Raw genomic sequence first — 19,567 nt, 5'->3', positions numbered from 1 at the left:
AAATCAGTTTTATAATTACCTCAGCGAACTGAGTAAACGCCTCCAAGGTATGTTGTTCTAGCAGCCAACTCCTGTCAGCTAGCAGTAAGGCAAACATACAGGACAGGTTGGGCAGAATTCTGTCCTAAAAGAACCAAGCCTTATTATAATAGAGAAAAGAAACCATAATAGATAATCATAAAATAGCCATACATTCAATAAGCCCAGTGTTGTCAAGTTAACATAATCCTGTCCCAGGGGACACACACTAAAACATATTAGGTAATGTCACTCTTTTACTCAAATCCTTCCAGTAGCTCCCTATTTCCCTTGTTAGTGAAAGCCAAAGTCCTCAAATGACCTGCAAAGTCCTGCTACCTTTGTGTTAGCTATACTTGCTTCCCTGAATATGAGGCATGCTCCCATCTCCAGTGCTTTGCATTTCAGGTTTTTACTTGCATGTCACCTTGGTGAGGACTTCACTAACTATATATCCCATTTCAAATTGGACCCCCACATTCATATTCCCTATCTTCCTTCCCTGCTTTATTTTTCTCCATAGCACTCACCACCATTTAATATACTGCACATATCATCATGTTGTTATTGTTTATTGCCTCTAAACAGGCTAACAGTGGGGATTTATTAGTTTGGTTCATTACTGCATTGCCAATGATTAAAACAGCACTGGGTACAGCAAAAACGTAATCTTTCCCGAATGGATAAATCAGTCAATCTCATTTCATGGCTTTAAATGCCTCCTATGTTCTGATGAATCTCAAAAATTTCTTCAGGTCTTGACCTCACTCCTGGGAATACAGAAGGCACTGCGATTTCTGCTTATAAAACATTTGTTTCATAATTTCTAGGCCCGTGCATAGTCCATAGTGGTTCACAAATGAAGCAGCATTTTGGAATAGATTTATTTCATGGTAAAAAGAAGACAGCTCAGATGCCAAGTGTCTTTGGATATTTTTGTCAAGAGAGCTGAAAAGCTGTCAACATTCTATGCTTATCTCATGAAATAAAACCTTAACATGATGGAGACAGATGGGATACTGTTAACTTATGAACAAATAAAAGAGCCCCTTAGAAATTAAATTTTTGGTTTCAAAGAGTTTAATCTACATGTTCTGAGATACTGTCTATAATGTGTTTGCTTTAATTATGTAAGAAAGTTCTCATTAGTGAACTCTTTATAGTCTCTCCCTTGGAGATTGAAGTGTCAATTACTAGAATTACTAAATTTTGACTATAGTAATAAGGAAGGCGTAATTCTCAATTTATGAAGATCTCTTTGCTGTAAGTTCTTTAAATTATGTACTGGCCTGGTAATATACATTTACTGAGGTTTTAAAATTCAGTAGATGTGTATTGCCAGGCCAGTGCAGTATAATTTTATAAATAATCTATTTGTCAGCTATACATATTTTGCAACACTTTCAAAAATATCGTCTTTAAAAACAGGTTCTCTTTCATGGATAAAAAACGAAGAGAATAACTTTAATAAATTACCAAATTTCCTAATTACATGCTGTTCCCTATAAGACAAATACACAGGAACTATGTATTAGAACCCAACTGGAATAAGAATCTAATATGGTAGACTACAGCCAACTAATTATTTGTGTATCAACATATATTTTTCTAAAAGAAAAGAACTTAAAATGAGTTGTATTATAAGTTATAAATAGATTTTATAATCTGTCTGGAACATAGTTTTTTTTTTCCAACTTTGTCAGTAATTGCAAAATTTCAGAAAAAGCCTAAAAATCCCTTAATCACTAACTCTTATAGAGATTTTGTTTTAATAATACAAGAACAGAGTTAAGCAATATTACCTGGATAGCTTCAGGTATAAAAAGTTTTCCTAAAGAAGATACAAAATCCAACATTGCCAAACGAACATAGTCAGGAAGCTCTAATTTAAGTAGCGAGGTCTGCAAAGTTACTGCCTACAGAGGTGAAGACCAAAGAACAGTTATAAATAATACCAGTATTTTGTACAGACACAATAACTGCCTAAGATTTGGATGGAAATGTGGGGAGGGGAAACAAAACCAAACCCAGAAAAAAACAAACACACCACAGCCCCTGAACTTCACTGGTAGAATTTAAATAAGACAATCCTATGAACAAGTTAACAGTTAAAGCATTATTCTTACCACACCCTCCTGCCTCCAACCACGTAAAAAATAAAAGTATACATGTTTCTGAAAAACTTTATATACCAAACCTTTAAAACATATTTTGTACAAACAGTATTTTATTGTGCTTTGATTTATTGCAATTTGAAGATACTGCTTTTTTTTTTTTTTTTTTTTTTTTTTTAGAAATATAAGGTGTGTGGCAACTCTGTACTGAACAAGTCTACCTGTACCATTTCTGCAACAGCATGTGTTCACTTCATGGCTGTCACAGATTGGTAATTCCTGCAATATTTCAACTTGTTCATTAGGATTTTATTACGCTGATTTGTGATCTTTGATGTTACTATTGTCATTGTTTTGGAGCACCACAAACTGTGCCCCTATAAGATGGCAAATATAATAAATTGTGTGTTGTGACTGTTCTACCAACAGGTAGGTCACCAGTCTCTCCCCCTCTCCTTGGGCTTCCCTATTCCCTGAGACACAATATTAAAATTAACCCTAAAATGGCCTCTTAAGTGTTCGAGTGAAAAGTATAATCTCATCTCTCACTTTAAATCAAAAGCTAAAGATAATTCAGCCTGGTGCTGTCAAAAGTCAAGAGAGGTGAAAAGCTAGGCCTCTTTTGCAAGTTAGCCAAGTCGTGAATGCAAAGGAAAAGTTCTTGAAGGAAATGAAAAATGCTATTCCAATGAACACGGAAAGTCTTATTGTTGATGTGGAAAGTTTTAGTGGTCTGGATAGATCAAACCAGCCACAATATTCCTTTAAGCCAAAGCCAAATCCAAAGCCAGGCCCTCTCTCCAATTCTGTGAAAGCTGAGAGCTGAAAAAGCTGCAGAAGAAATGTTTGATGCTAATGAGGTTGACCCGTGAAGTTTAAGAAGCAATCTCCGTAACACAAAAGCACAAGGTGAAGCAACAAGTGCTGATGAAGAAGCTGCAGTCAATTATCCAGAAGATCTGGCTAAGATCACTGATGGAAGTGGTTGCATTAAACAATATATTTTTAATGTAGAGGAAACACCATTCTATTGGAAGAAGATGCTACCTAGGATTTTCATAGCTAGAGGGGTGAAGTCAATGCCTGGCTTCAAAGCTCAAAGGACAGACTCTCTTCTTGGGGGCTAATGCAGCTGCTGAAGTTGAAGCCAATGTTCACTTACTATTAAAAAAATCCTAAGGCCCTTAAGAATTCTGCTAAATCTACTCTGCATGTACTCTATCAATGGAACAACAAAGCCAGGATGATGGCATACCTGTTTATATCACTGTTTACTGAATATTTTTTGGCCCACTATTGAGAGGCCTACTGCTCAGAAAAAAAGATTTCTTTCAAAATATACTGCTCATTGACAATGCACCTGCTCAACCAGGCGCTCTGAAGGAGACGTATAAGGAGATGAATATTGTTTTCATGTTTGTTAATACAACAGTCATTCTGCAGCCCATCAATCAAGGAATAATTGTGACTTTCAAGTCTTACTGTTTAAGAAATACGTTTTATAAGGCTATAGCTGCCATGGATAGTGATTCCTCTGATGAACCTGGACAAAGTAAATTGGAAACCTTCTGGGAAGGAGTCATCATTTCAGATGCCATGAAAAACATTCATGATTCATTTGGAGGAGGTCAAAATATCAACATTAACAGGAATTAGAAGTTGATTCCATCCCTCATGGATGACTTTGGGGGGTTCAAGCCTACCGTGGAGGAAGTAACTGCAGATGTGGTAGAAATAGCTAGCAAACTAGAAGTAGATCCTGAAGATGTGACTGAATTGCTGCAATCTCATGATCAAACTTGAAGAGGAGTTGCTTCTCATGAATGAGCAAAGAAAGTGGTTTCTTGACACATAACTACTCCTGGTATAGAAGATGGTGTGAACATTGTTGAAATGAAAACAAAGAATTTAGAGTATTACATAAACTGAGTTATTAAAGCACTAGCAGGATTTGAGAAGATTGACTCTAATTTTGAAAGAAGTTTTACTGTGGGTAAAATACCATCAAACAGCATCACATGCTACAGAGAAATCTTTCATGAAGGGAAGAGTCAATTGATGTGGCAGACTTCATTGTCGTATTTTAAGAAATTGCCACAGCCACCCTAACCTTCAGCAACCACCATCCTGATGGGTTAGCAGCCATCCACACTGAAGCAAGACCCTCCACTACCAAAAAGATTATGTTTTGCTGAAGGCTTATATGATCATTAGTGTTTTTAGCAATAAAGTGTTTTTTAATTATGTACATTTTTTACACATAATGCTATTATACACAACCTACAGTATAGTGTAAACATAACTTCTGTATGCACTGGGAAGCCAAAAAATTCATGTGACTCACTCACTTTATTGTGGTGGTCTGGAACACAACCTGTAATCTCTCTGTGGTATGCCTGTATTTAAAATTCTATTGAGAGAAGTTCATTATTTAGCAAGGACTGGTAAGCTTTTTCTCTAACAGGCCAAATAGTAAGTATTTTAGGCTTTGTAGGCAACATGTTCTCTGTTACATATTATTTTTTATTTTGCAAACCTTTAAAATTCATGCCTAGCTCTTGGGCTGAAAACAGGAGGGCAAAATTTAGACAGAAGGCCATAATCTGCAAACCCCCAATTTAAAAGAATCTTGAGGTGAAATCTTTTATAAAGGAAGCAATACCCTTTGAACAATCTACTTATTTAGAAATTTTAGAACTTTATTTGGGTTTTTTAAAGGTAGGCACATTATATCAAAATTATTGTATTTTTTCTAAAAATATTAGAGCTTTCAGAATCAGAATCAAATTGTTGCATTCAATGAGTTAATTACTGTATTCTGACTCTTTATAACTTAGTAAAATCCATGTTATACATATGGTATAGGACATACTTGTTATTGCTAACTTCTTCATATACATACACCATTAAAAACAGCTACTAAAAGCAAAGCTGTTACTAGTTTCATTCCTTTCTGTTCCACCACATACTGTGACAGGAATCATCTCTTCGATCATCTTCATAAATAAGAAGGGTAGTTTCTCCTCTTAACAGTTATTGTTTATCTTTCTTACCTGACCCTGAGCTTAAGCTAACTCTTAATTTGGGGCATCAATTCTGTCTAGTATGGACTCATTCCAAAGCCTCTAAATCACTTCAGTTTAGCTGAAGGGCTTTTCCACTTTCTCTGTCATCTTAGAACTTCCAAAAGAAAGGCACAGCTGAGGCACCACAAGGGTTCCCTAGACAGTGACCCAGGCTCTGCCTGTCCTAGCCATGTAAGTTGGAGGCCAAAGAGGAAATTCAGCAGTGCTCTTCTTTCAAAATAATTTTATTTTTTCAAAGAAACAATAGGTGCTATCTTTTAATACACACTGGTTAGATTCCACATTCCCACAGCTGCTGAAATGCTTTTGAAACTGCTATGAATGCAGGGTTCAACACATGAACTATGACTCCTAACCTCAGGGGTTTGCAGTGGGTAGTTAACAGTAATAACAAAAAGTATTGACTGCTCAGTATAGGGTGACAGAGAAGAACAGATAAAGGCTGAATTAACAGCGCCATATATTAACAATACTGTAAGGAAGAAAGAGAAATGAGATATCCTTGATGAAGACAAGTCAATATATGACACAACAAGAGGAGGTTTAAAGGAACTATTTCTAGAAAGTTATTTTACATGATAGCAGTTTTAGCAACCTCCTTAGCAAACAAAGTATCAATCTGGTCATTATTCTTACCTGAAGTATCAGTTTAGGATCTAGAGTTTGAATGAAAAATCCCAACAGTGGAAGTAAAAGGCTGAATGTCTGTTGAACATAAGGTTGATCTGCTACCTAAGAAACACAAAGTAATTTTGAAGAAAAATTTTCAATCACATAAGAATAATAATAGCAAGCTTTTATTGAGCATTTATTATATATCAGGTAATATGTTAAGTATTTTATATTTATTACCTCATTTATGCCTTACAAAACAGCTCTATGAGGTAGATATTATTACCTTCACTTTACTGATAAGAAAACAGGGTCAAAGAGGTTAAACAATTTGTTCAAGATCACATGGCTAGGACAAAAAGCAGAGCTGTGACTGAAATCCAAATTTAAGTCTAAAAGGGATCTAATTACTTGTCTATCACTGAAAGGCTTGTATGTTCCTTAGTAATCTTAAAATTTCATTTCCCTTCTTCATAATTTTGGTTTACATTATAATATTGTAAGCTATATCTCCAGCACAGATATCCTGAATGAATACTGAATGATTTGTGAACATCAGGAAAAGTATTTGTTGAAGCCAAAACACTGCAGTAGGGCAATCTGACCATAAAAAACAATAATAAAACATTATCTGTAAAATCATATCTATCATTTCCCAAAAGTATGGCTGTTGCCTTTAGCTTCCTCTAGCTGCCAGAGGCCAATGTTAATTTCTACTTAGTCAAAGAAAACAAACAGGCTATATTTTCAAACTAAGAAACACGTGTACAACCATGTGTGGGATGCATATCATTAGTTTTAGATCATCACTTGGCTTTTTGGCTTTGCTGGGAAAGAGAAATACAAATTAGCCACATCCATTCACTAGCCCTTTCCACCTTTAAGTCAGCTCACTCTCCATTGCCCAAAAGATTTATTAAAGGTCCTAGAATTACAGAAATAGGATACATTAACCTAAGACAGAACAGAAACAATAGGGGAAGAGATGGGGAGGTGGGGAAAGGGTATAACCAGTTAGGAAAGTAAGTAGGTGGACTGCCATCACATTACGTATTCTGATTTTACTAATATAATGCTATCACACTCTGAAAAAGCTGCGTGAGAGAGTACAGGTACTTTAAGTTCTTATAAAGGTCTACCAAGCACCCAAAAGAATTAGATACATTTTACTCTACACTGGAAAATTTCAGTACAATCCTCTTTTTTTGATATTTTCTATTTTTTGATAAGGAAAGGATCAGTTGCTTTCCTTACCTGTTTAATGTTTAAAAAAGCCCAAAGCTGACTCACAACTTCGATAATTGCAGTTTGTTTTCCTGTATCCAAAGCTTCACCAGCAGAATTACATACTGCAAGCAAAGCAGACAGTACTGTGTTCTGAAGGACAGAAACAGGAAAGGACTTGAGTTTAAACACCAGTCTAAAGCACCACCAAGAGCCGACTTAACTAGAGGTTATAAAAGTTACTTTTAACTCTTCATAAAGTCCATGTAGAATAATATTTCTAAGAGCCAAAGCCATCTTTTCAGCTATTTAACACAAGTATATATTAAAAATAATTTTCCTTGTACACAGAAACATTTGCTTTATTTTTCTAAATAAACTTTTTTTTTTTTTTTGAGATGGCATCTCACTCCGTCACCAGGCTGGAGTGCAGTGGTGCAATCTCGGCTCACTGCAACCTCCAACTCCCAGGTTCGAGCGATTCTCCTACCTCAACCTCCCGAGAAGCTGGGACTACAGGCACATACCACCACACGAGCTAATTTTTGTATTTTAATTAGAGACTCAGTTTTCACCATGTTGGCCAGGATGGTCTCGATCTCTTGACCTCATGATCTGCCAGCCTCGGCCTCCCAAAGTGCTAGGATTACAGGCATGAGCCACCGCACCCAGCCATAAACTTCCTTTTAGGGTGAAATGTTGGTAACCCAAAGTTACCAAATGGAAGCAGAAATCTACTTTAATAAATAGTTTTGATACAAGTGGCCAGTATAATCAAGCTAATTTATAATATACATCAACAAAAAGTTATTTTTTCACATTACGCACCCAGCAATCTTTATAGGTTACTAGATTTTTATTTTTCCTGTTGTTTTAAAATTTTAAATGCCTCAGCAACACTGCATTTAATAAGCAAAGATAGTACTTAAAAAATACTAGTATTTGAAACTAAAGGCAATGTTTTCTGGATTAACTTTTACCATGTGTGAAAATACTCAATTCTCTCTCTGGCCAGAAATGAGGTTGTTTGAGGTGTGGTGGGGGTACAGGGAAGGTCTTATGAGAATGTAATAAACAGTAACAATGAATGCCTTGAATCTATTATACTTACACAACCACACTTAATTTTATGCAATTACCATACAACTTCTTAAGATTTACCTATTTCCTTTTACAAATAAACATGTTCTAGATGCAGAAATCCTCAAAACGATACTAGCAAACCAAATTCAATAGCACATCAAAAATTAATTCAACATGATCAAGTATACTCCATTCCTGGGATGCAAGGTTGGTTCAACATATGCAAATCAATAAGTGTGATTCACCACATAAGCAGAATTAAAGACAAAAACCATATTCATCATCTCAATAGATATGGAAAAAGCTTTTGATAAAATCCAACATCCCTTTATAATAAAGGCCATCAAGACACTAGGCATCAAAAGAACATACATCGAAATAATAAGAGCCATCTATGACAAACTCACAGCCAACGTCGTACTGAACAGGCAAAAACTGGAGGCATTCCTCTTCAGAAATGGAACAAGACAAGGATGCCCACTCTCACCACTCCTATTCAACATAGTATTGAAAGTTCAAGCCAGAGCAATAAGCAAGAGAAAAAAATAAAAGCAGCACACAAGTACGAAAAGAAGAAGTCAAACTATCTGTTTCAGGATACAAAATCAATGTACAAAAATCAGTACCATTTCTATACACCAATAACATTCAAGCTGAGTGGCAAATCAGGAACACAAGGCCGAGCGCAGTGGCTCATGCCTGTAATCCCAGCACTTTGGGAGGCCGAGGTGGGTGGATCACAATGTCAGGAGATCGAGGCCATCCTGGCTAACACAGTGAGACCCCATCTCTACTAAAAATACAAAAAATTAGCCGGGCGTGTTGGCGGGCACCTGTAGTCCCAGCTACTCGGGAGGCTGAGGCAGGAGAATGGCAGGAACCCAGGAGGCAGAGCTCACAGTGAGCCGAGATCACACCACTGCACTCCAGCCTGAGCGACAGTGCGAGACTCCGTCTCAACAAAAAAAAAAAAAAGAAAAAAGAAAAGAACACGATCCTGTTTACAGTAGATACACGCACACCCCTAGGAATACATTTAACCAAGGAGGTGAAAGATCTCTACAAGGAGAACTATAAAACATTGCTAAAAGAAATCATAGATGACACAAACAAATGGAAAAACATTCCATGCTCATAGATTGGAAGAGTCAGTATCATTAAAATGGCCATACTGCCCAAAGCAATCTACAGATTCAATGCTTTTCCTACCAAACTATTGACACCATTTTTCACAGAATTAGAAGAAACTATTCTAAAATTCATATGGAATCAAAAAAGAGCCTGAATAGCCAAAGTAATCCTAAGCAAAATGAAGAAGGCCAGAGGCATCACGTGACTTGACTTGAAACTATACTATAAGACTACAGTAACCAAAACATCATGATACAGGTACAAAAACAGAAATGGATCAATGAAACACAATAGAGAACCTACAAATAAAGCCACATACCTACAGCCATGTGATCATTGAAAAAGTCAACAAAAACAAGCAACAGAGAAAGGACTCCTATTCAATAAATGGTGCTGGGATAGCTAGCTAGCCTACATGCAGAAGAATGAAACTGGATAGCCACCTTTCAGCATATACAAAAATTAACTCAAGATGGATTAAAGATTTAAATATAAGACCTCAAACTATAAGAATCCTAGGAAAAAACCTAGGAAACACCATTCTAGACATCAGCCTTGAGAAAGACACCAATAGCAATTGTAATGAAAACAAAAATTGACAAGTGGGACCTAATTAAAGAGCTTCTGCACAGCAAAAGAAACTATCAACAAAGTAAACAGACAACCCATAAAATGGGAGAAAATACTTGCAAACTATGCATGTGACAAAGGTCTAATATCCAGAATCTATAAGGAACTTAAACACCTGAACAAGTAAAAAACAACCCCATTAGAAAATGGGCAAAAGACATGAACAGACGCTTCTCAAAACAAGACACACAAGAGGCCAACCATCATATGAAAAAGCTATCAGGGAAATGCAAATCAAAATCACAACGAGATACTATCTCACACCAGTCACAATGGCCGTTATTAAAAAGTCAAACAACAGATGCTGGTGAGGCTGCAGAGAAAGTAAATGCTTATATACTGTTGGTAGGAATGTATATTATTTCAGCCACTGTGGAAAGCAGTTTGGAGATTTCTCAAAGAACTCAGAACTACCATTCTACCCAGCAATCTCATTACTGGGTACATATCCGAAAGAAAACAAATCGTTCTACCAAAAAGACACATGTACTCACATGTTCATTGCAGCACTACTCACAACAGCAGACATGGAATCAACCTAGATGTCCATCAACAGATTAAAGAAAATGTGGTACATATATACCATGGAATAGTATACAGTCATAAAAAAGAATGAAATCATGTCCTTTGCAGCAACAGAGAGCGGCTAGACACCATTACCCTAAGCAAATTAACAAAGGAACAGAAAACCAAATACCACATGTTCTCACTTATAAGTGAGAGCTAAACACTGGGCACTCATGGACATAAAGATGGCAACAATAAACACGGGACTAGTAGGGGGAGGGAGGAGAGATGGTAAGGGTTGATAAACGGTTGGGTACTATGCTGAGTACCTGGGTGATGAAATCATTCATATCCCAAACCTCAGCATCACGCAATAAAACCAGGAAACAAACCTGCACAAGTATCCCCTAAATCTAAAATAAAAGTTGAGGCTGGGTGTGGTGGCTCACTCCTCTAATCCCAGCACTTTGGGAGACCGAGGTGGACAGATCACCTGAGGTCAGGAGTTCGAGACCAGCCTGGTCAACATGGTGAAACCCCATCTCTACTAAAAATACAAAAATGAGCCAGGCATGGTGGCGGGTGCCTGTAATCCCAGCTGCTCTGGAGGCTGAGGCAGGATAATCGCTTAAGCCCAGGAGGCAGAGGTTGCGGTGAGCCAAAATCATGCCACTGCACTCTAGCCTGGGCAACAGAGCGAGACTCCATCTCAAAAAATAAAATAAAAAATAAAAGTTGAAAAAATTTAAAATAAAAGACGTATGTTGAACAACCTGCTGGACTAAAAAGCTGTGGTCATACTTCAAAAAGTTTACTTATAGTGCTTTTCTTTACCTAATATAAAACAAAACATCCTTTGTCCTTACTATAGAAATTGGTACACATTAAATGCTAAACTCGGACACATTTAACCCATTCTTAACTAGGTATTTGATACTTTTTCTAAAATAAAGTCACATAAAAACATTTCCTTTGGATAAGCCTGGGCACAGTGGCTCACACCTGTAATCCCAGCACTTTGGGAGGCCAAGGAGGGTAGATTACCTGACATCAGGAGTTCGTGACCTGCCTGGCCAACATGGTGAAAGTCCGTCTCTACTAAAAATACAAAAAATTAGCTGGGCATGGTGGTGGGAGCCTGTAATCCCTGCTACTCAGGAGGCTGAGGCAGGAGAATTGCCTGAATCCGTGAGGTGGAGGTTGCAGTGAGCCAAGATCACACCATTGCACTCCAGCCTGGGCAATAAGAACGAAACCTCATCCCCGCCAAAAAATTATAATAATTATGATCAAGTGTCATTACATATAACGGTATCAGAACATTTGTACTCAGCATGGAAACATATGCCCTCAGAAAAACCTGAACTCCTAATTTAGAACTGCAAATAGACCTCTGTCCCTTTGAATGCCCTATCCTTATCTTTGCTTTTCTCTACTTAACATAATTGGCATTTCTTATTTTACTGTCCACTGCTAAGCTCAAATGTGAGTCTATGAGAGTAGAAATTTTTGGTTCCCGATGTACCCCCAATGCCTAGAACAAAGTGGCACATAAAAGTACTCCAAATATATTTGTTGAATGAATGAATGAGCATATGAACACTAAACTCGAAATTTCAACTACATGTACTATATCCAGCCAACTTTTAAAAATCTCACATTTCCTACTTCTTCTAGTAGATAAGTCTCTTATTATTCCATTATTTTATGAGGGAACATTCTATGTAAAAGGTACATAAAGGTTCAGAGTAAGTTAGCATAAAATGGGGGTTGTATTTTGTCGAATGGAAGAATTACATCTGCATAATCCAGAGATACATCAGCAAAAATACACAAGTGAAGTGTTCCATAGTGTGTTTGATCATGTCTCAACATACCTTAAGCGACATAGGAAACAACCCCCCAATATAATACATCAATTAAAATAACAGTTAAGTTTCTCACAGATTCTTTTACAATGAAGAAATCTGAAAATCTTACTAGGTTCTAACAGAAACAGAGAACAGAGAGTGTGTGCATCTTATTAACAACCTAACCCCAGTACCTAAAACAATGCTCAATAAACAGCTGCTGAATGAATAAAATAAATCAAAATTATTATCTTACCAGAGATTCTAGTTCTCCCAAAGTACGACTCCTGCTCAGCCATTTCCTGCATTCTGCAGTGCCTACTGTGGTGACCTCATGGACAGTTTGTTCCCTAAGCTCAGGAGGTAACGCCTGGAAGGAAATATGTTGCCACAGAGGCAGATTTTCTGCTTCTTTTGGGGAAAATTTCTGGATAAACTCCAGCTGAAATAAATTGTTAAAGAAAGAAGAGTAACATGAGACAAGTCAGAGGAATGGATACACAAAAGCTAAGTATTAGTTTCCACATTTAATATTTCGAGAAAGCTTTATAATGGTACGGTAATATCTACATTCCAGACCAAGGTAACATAAATGAACATGCTTTATTATTATTGTTATTGATGCTGCATTGGTTTCCAAAACAAAAACACAGCTTAAGTGGAGCACAATATAAATGCACCAAGACATTAAATAATGTATTTCATTATTAGTTATGTCAGATATCTTATCATGCTCCTACTTACCAATAAGTCTTATTTTCCTATATACTCGTCACCTTGTACAGTTAAGTCAAAAGTAATATTCCAAATATACAAACTGGATTTAGTCAACCTTCATAGCTTACTGTTATCTCACTTGATTATAGCAGAGAACTTAAAGAAGCAAAGATTCAGCTTTCAAATGAGTTAGCTGGTTCTGTCCTACTTTAGACAACATACTAAATCAGTTTCACAAAGGTAAGCCACAAATCAAAAAGAGCGTGGTTGGCAAATCCATTCCACCACTGAAATAACCAAAGTGCTTACTAGGTTAACAGAAAAGTACTGTTTTGTTAAAATGCAGATGTTAGAGACTAGATAAAAATGGAAAACAAAAGTTCTAAGAAACAGTTTAAATGTTGAATCAGTTTTTGGTAGAAAAATGGTAAAAACCAATGCTGCATTTAATGATTAAAATAAGTATAATCCAACTAGGAAGTATATTAGTGTATTTTCTAAGAAGTAGAATAATTCAATTTAAAATATTCAAAATCTACTTGATGAAAACTTTTCCCATACCAAAAACTAAAAACCCACCAAAAAAAAAAAAAAAAAATTAAATCTGACAGAGAAACTTTTCTGTCATATGCTATATTTGTATTTCAATTTTATTTCTTTTGTGGAAAATATTTACCAGTCAATGCAAGCTAGAAATCATGTGGCTATCTGCTGTGACAGAGGCTACAGCCAGAAAAACAGATCCCTTGATGAGCGAGTGTCTATTACAAAAAGCAGCTTTATTCATAAAACCAAACTACATCAGGAAAGCCAAGAGAACTGTGCCAACTGGTAAACATCAGTTCAAATATCACCTTTCTTTATAATAAAGTCCAGTAAGTAAGTGAACTACTTCCCTTTCCAAAATAGAAACTAAAAAAATAATGTCCTGGACAACATAAAAGGGTAGGTATTGCCAAAATTTGTTATAGAAAGAGTTCAAGATTTATTCTGAGGTTGAAAACCCTGGTTTCAACACAATTCTAAAGACTTAAAACTGCTATGACAAAATAGTTCATAAAAGACTAAAGTAAAAGGGGACAATACACAGAGAATTATGACTTCTTAAAATTGGAAAGAGAAAAAATACACTTGTGGGTTTAAAATGCAAATACAGTAATTTTTACTTTACATTAAAAAGGTAGTACAATTATCAGTGTGCTTAGATAAGGCATATTAAATACTTTTCCCTCAAGTAGGTAACCTCCTTGTATTTTTGCTTTTCTTGATACAATGGAATACTACTAATAGTTACATACTAAAAGAAATAATGTGATTTCAATAATTACTCCTATTAGAACAGTAAATGCATTCTAACATCTTTCTATTAGCATTTTCTTCCAAATTAGCATCATAGACACCTTTGTTTTTTAAAGTATATCATCACCATACTGGGATTAACTATTTTCATTTATGTTAAGGTGACATCACTCGTAAAAAAATTTGGGTTCTTATTTTACTATTTAAAAAGACACCATCTTGTATGCAAATAGTTGAATAATTATTTCAAGTTTCATTGCTCACTTCTCCTTTTTTCTCTAATATGCTTTCTTACCTTTGCTTCTCTAGTCCCACCACCTTCCACATTCATCCTGTAACATGTAACTCAAATGCCATCAATTCCAACTCCTATGCCTACCTGTTCCCATACTGCACCTCTTCAGAAATGACTGTCTCAGCTACAAACACCCAACAACATTTGATTTGTGCCTCAGTTTTGGCATTCATCACAAACCACTCTTTAATATGAGTATCTTTATAAATTTATAATTTCTACTAGATTTTATGTTCCTTAAGATATCATGAGATAGTGCCGTGGTTTCCAAGTTGTTTTTTTACAATAAGACAGTCTTGCTATGTTGTCCGGCTGGACTTGAACTTTGGGCTAAATAAAAAGATCCTCTGATCCTCCTGCCTCAGCATCCCAGATCAGCTGTTAGGTGTGAATTTGTGGAAGTTATTTAATTTCCTCGAGCTATTGTTTCTTCATCTGTCAAATGGACACAATATTATCTATCCCACAAGGCTGCTGTAAGGACTAAATGAATTAAGTGCCTGGCCTGTTACAGTCTCAAAAATATTATTTCCCTTCCTCCTTCATTTAAGAGAAAGGATAATGTCTTAAGGGGTTAAAAAAAAGAGCCAAGCAGGAGAGGAGACCTAACATTTGTTAAATGGTCTTTTCATGCCATATGTGTATCTTATCAAGTTTCTTAACTGCCATATGAGTATTAGTATCTATCTCAATTTTATAATTAACTCTCCTAAGGACTCTTAAAATAGGTATGCAGATTCAGGTTTTCTTAAATTTTATCACAATAACTTGTACATAAAGAAAATCTGCATTTGATAACTGAAGATACAAATTAAAAGTAACCCCTCATTTACCTATAATTTACATATCTGATAGTCTCAATTATTTGGAAAAATTTAGAAAACTGAGAGTAAGAGATCTCTAGGCATAAACTATAATTTATCTAATTTAGAACACTGCTTCTAGACCTCATAGCTAATTCATTCTGAGTTATATTATTTTAAAAGTTAAAATTTCATAACCACCTTGGGAAAATAATTTTATTCCTGTTGTATAAATAAGAAAATTGAGGTTAAAAGGAAAGTGACAGCTGAGCTCAATAGCTCACACCTCTAATCCCAGCACTTTGGGACGCCGAGGCAGGAGGATCGTCTGAGTTCAAGTTTGAGACCAGCCTGGGCAACATAACCAGACCCTGTCTCTATTTAAAAAAAAAAAAAAAAAAAAAAAAAGGAAAGTGACTTTCTTAAAGTCTTATGACATGTGACCCTTTCCCTCCCAGTCCCACTTCTTCTAAGATATCTGGAGTAGAAAATTCTTTTGTAAGCAAGCAAGCTCCCCGTGCTCTTAGAGGGCTAATAGGTGGGGCTACGAAAAGAAGGCTAAGAGGTAGGTGTAGTACCTCTGGTTCCTGGCCAACCACTCTAGGGCAGGAAAAGACTTGGACTTGAGGCAAAAACCCTAGTCAGAAATAACTCCTAGCATTTACTGAGCACCCTCTTAAACCCAGCACTATCCTGTTTTGCATGTATTATTTCCAAGTCTTTACAAACTTTTTCAAAATAGTTATACATATCTTCTGCTTTGCAGACAAGGAAAATGAAGTTCAGAAAGGATGACTTGCCTAAGGTCATGGTATGCCAGGATTCAAACCGAGGACCATAAGACCTTAAAGTCTAATCCTCTTCACTAATCTAGTGGTTCCCAAGCTTAGATCCAAGTCTGACTCACGCAGGAACTTAATGATAGTACCAACAAAAACAAATTATTGAGCCTTACTTCATACCCATGCCTCCATACCCACCCATCCACAGATTAGAGTCCAGGAACTTATATTTTTAAAAGAGCTCCTACAACAGTTCCAATGTGACCAGTCTGAGGGACTGCACTAGGCCATACAGGTTTATGTAAGTAAAGACCACTAAGAGCAAAAATAATATTCTAGCTCTTCAAAATAAAAGGGGCAGGGGATATAGAACCATTTCATATCATGTATCTCAAATATATATGAAAAATAAGGGGAAAGATCTATTTCAGGAAGACAGAATTAGAATAATTATCTATAACTCAAAGCAAGGACATCAAAATCTATACCCAGCAACAAGCACAGCAATCAACGTCAAAAATTTATGCTTAGATCACACCAGTATTTAAATTTAAAATAAATGGAGGCAAGGCCAGGCAGAGTGGCTCACACCTGCAATCTCAGCACTTTGGAAGGCAGAGATGGATCACTTGAGCCCAGGAGTTTGAGACCAGCCTAGGCAACATAGTGAGACCCAGTCTCTACAAGTAATTTTTTTAAAAATTAGCCAGGCGTAGTGGTGTGTGCCTGTAGTCCCAGCTACTCAGGAGGCTGAGGTGGGAGGATTGCTTGAGCCCAGGAAGTCGAGGCTGCAGTGAGCTGTGATCGAGCCACTGTAAAACCAGCCTGGGTGACAGAGCGAGACTCTGTCTCAAAAAAAATAATAAGATAAATTTTTAAAAATGGAAAAAAAAAGGCTATCAAAGGAGTCTGAATCCAACTCTGAGCAGCTTCACAGACAGTGACAAAGATGATATCCTTCCTTGCCTGATGGGGTGGTGCCATGAAGAAAAAGAGACGCTTCAACAGTATTGATAGGTTGATGAGTTGATAACATTCTCCAGGGCATGACTTTATCTGGAAAAAGACATGAGAGAGAGAGGAGAGACTGACTAATTTAGAATCAGAATTTTTACAAGAAGAGAATATGCCAAAATATTAATAGCAGCTCTTTCTAGGGGAAAAGATTGTAGGTAATATTGACTTTTAATTTGGGGCTTTTCTTATCTTCAATGAATCTAAATTTAGAATGAGATTGAACTTCTGACATATTTAACACTGTAATTTCTATTTCTAATTATCATTTTGATGATAACTGGGTATGTCAGTCCTCCTACTCAAAGACAATTCATGGAACTTTTTAAGATCTAACTACAATAGTAGAGAGGTAGATAAAACTCTACAAGACAGAAGCTTCATTAAAAGATGTTACAGGGGCTGAGTGTGGTGGTTCACAACTGTAATCCCAGCACTTTGGGAGGCCAAGGTGGGAGGACTGCTTGAGCCCGGGAGTTTGAAACTAGCCTGGGCAACACAGCAAGAACTCCATATCCACAAAAAGTTTTAAAAATCAGCTGGGCATAGTGGCGCATGCCTGTAGTCCCAGCTACTCAGCAGGGTGAGGGAGGAGGACCATTTGCACCCAGAAGTTTGAGGCTGTAGTGAACTATGATTGCACACCACTGCATTCCAGCCTGGGTGACAGAATGAGACCCTGTCTCTAAGAAAAAAACCACCACTAACAAAAAAATTTTATAAATTCAATTTTATCAATTCCTATCATAATATAGTATCATTCCATCCTGGAATCAATTTTATCATAATGAACTAGAAGAAATCCATTCCTACAACATAATGCACTAAGAAAGCTTTTATTTAAAGGAAACTTCAGACATAAAACACATAACATAAAAATCACTCTTTATCTGCTTTGTGAAAGATATGTTAAGGATTTAGTAAAGTGTGTAAGTGATAATCCAGACCATCAGCCATGGAGACATAGATGTCAGCTGTTCAGGTTATTACACACCTCACTGGATCTGATCTACAAAATCCTTTAAAGGTAAACCAAGAAATATATGATACAATAAGACTATTAGAAAACAAAAGATGTATGGCCCACATAAGATCTTAAAGGCCAGGGAAAAAAATATGTAACAAATAGGTCATAATCATCTTATATGGAACACATAAAACACCTCAGAATTTAAAAGCAAAAAATGTTAATGTTAAGATGATGAAATCATTATAAAATAATTTTCTGTCTGTACCCATTCATAAAACATGACTTCTTTTGCCAAAAGTATCTATCAATGTCAAACTCAAGTTCCTCTCAAATCATCTTGACTTAAAAAAAAAATACAACAAAATCAAGAGTCGACTTGTCTAAGGCATATTAGAGAGACAGAAGAGAGAAACCTCTTGGCCATCAATTATAAGTCGCTCTTATTTTCTACTTTGCATTCAATTTTAAATGTAATTTCAATTAACCCAGTCTTTCCTTCCCAGAACAATTACTGAAATTACATAAAATCCTGAGAATATGAGAAAACATTCCCAGTTTCACACTAACGGTTTTTTAGTACATCCTTCTTAAAAGCATCAGCATTAATACAAGACAAAGACTGTCAAAACAATCTTGTTACTGTGATATTTCTCCCGCCGATATTCACATTCTTAAAGATTATCATATCCCCAAAGGAAGTGCATAGAAAGTGGGTGTTTTAGGCCTTGTAATTCTACGCACCAGATGAGCCACTATGGTGACATGGTGTGCACACAGTTCAGCAGTCCCATATCTGCAATATAAAAGAGAAGACAACTATGTTTATACAATTACTCAGAAACATAAGGAGATGAACTTGCATAAAGCACTAAATATTCTGATGAGGACATTAAAAACTGCCATTATTTCCATGACCAAATAATATCACAATATACAAAACTCCCTAAACAGTACTCATCTATTGGCTTGAACCAAAGAAAGAACTTGTTTCCTAATTTAATGCTGTAATATGAAATCAAAGCGTTTTGGGAATTATTTTTAAAGGATTATTGAAACAGTTTTTCTATAAGCTTACAATTATAAAATTATCTACTGTCAGTCACTACTAATAACCAATCCAAAGAACAAAAAAGCAAATATGTTGTACCGAGCAAGGAAGCACCATGCATCCATAGCTAACAAAGAGGTGATCATATTAGCACTAAGTACAGCATTCAGCAGAGCAGCATCCTAATCAAAAACAGAAAAATTAATTTATTTAAATACTAAAGTTCACAATAAGCAATAATATTATATTTCTCAAAATAAAACAAGAAAGCACTATCAGAATCCAAATAACAGATCCTCAATGGGGGAGTTCTACTTTCTAGTATCTGAAAGGACACTGCCATTCCCTCAATATTTATTGAGCACCTACTATACATTAAGTACT

At 36.2% G+C, this 19,567-nt stretch overlaps 1 protein-coding gene across 20 annotated transcripts in view; it reads right to left on the bottom strand.

The window, feature by feature from the left end:
• The window catches only part of FIRRM (FIGNL1 interacting regulator of recombination and mitosis), a 70,244-nt gene that overhangs the window by 4,457 nt on the left and 46,220 nt on the right, over nucleotides 1-19,567 (bottom strand). For 18 of the 20 annotated variants that reach the window (XM_047424760.1, XM_047424762.1, NM_001366771.1 and 15 more), the window contains 8 exons: nucleotides 19,283-19,365; nucleotides 18,877-18,928; nucleotides 17,118-17,207; nucleotides 12,512-12,697; nucleotides 7,085-7,207; nucleotides 5,855-5,950; nucleotides 1,821-1,934; nucleotides 20-124 (listed from right to left, as the gene is read on the bottom strand). In XM_047424760.1, the coding sequence (XP_047280716.1) occupies nucleotides 20-124; nucleotides 1,821-1,934; nucleotides 5,855-5,950; nucleotides 7,085-7,207; nucleotides 12,512-12,697; nucleotides 17,118-17,207; nucleotides 18,877-18,928; nucleotides 19,283-19,365 (849 nt within the window). The remainder of the gene's footprint in view (nucleotides 1-19; nucleotides 125-1,820; nucleotides 1,935-5,854; nucleotides 5,951-7,084; nucleotides 7,208-12,511; nucleotides 12,698-17,117; nucleotides 17,208-18,876; nucleotides 18,929-19,282; nucleotides 19,366-19,567) is intronic. The other 2 variants (NR_159440.1, XR_921872.2) reach the window with 1 other exon arrangement.

Source organism: Homo sapiens, chromosome 1 (genome assembly GCF_000001405.40).
Source record: "Homo sapiens chromosome 1, GRCh38.p14 Primary Assembly".
Classification (NCBI taxonomy): Eukaryota; Metazoa; Chordata; class Mammalia; order Primates; family Hominidae; genus Homo; species Homo sapiens.
This window is presented reverse-complemented; position numbering and strand designations above follow the sequence as displayed.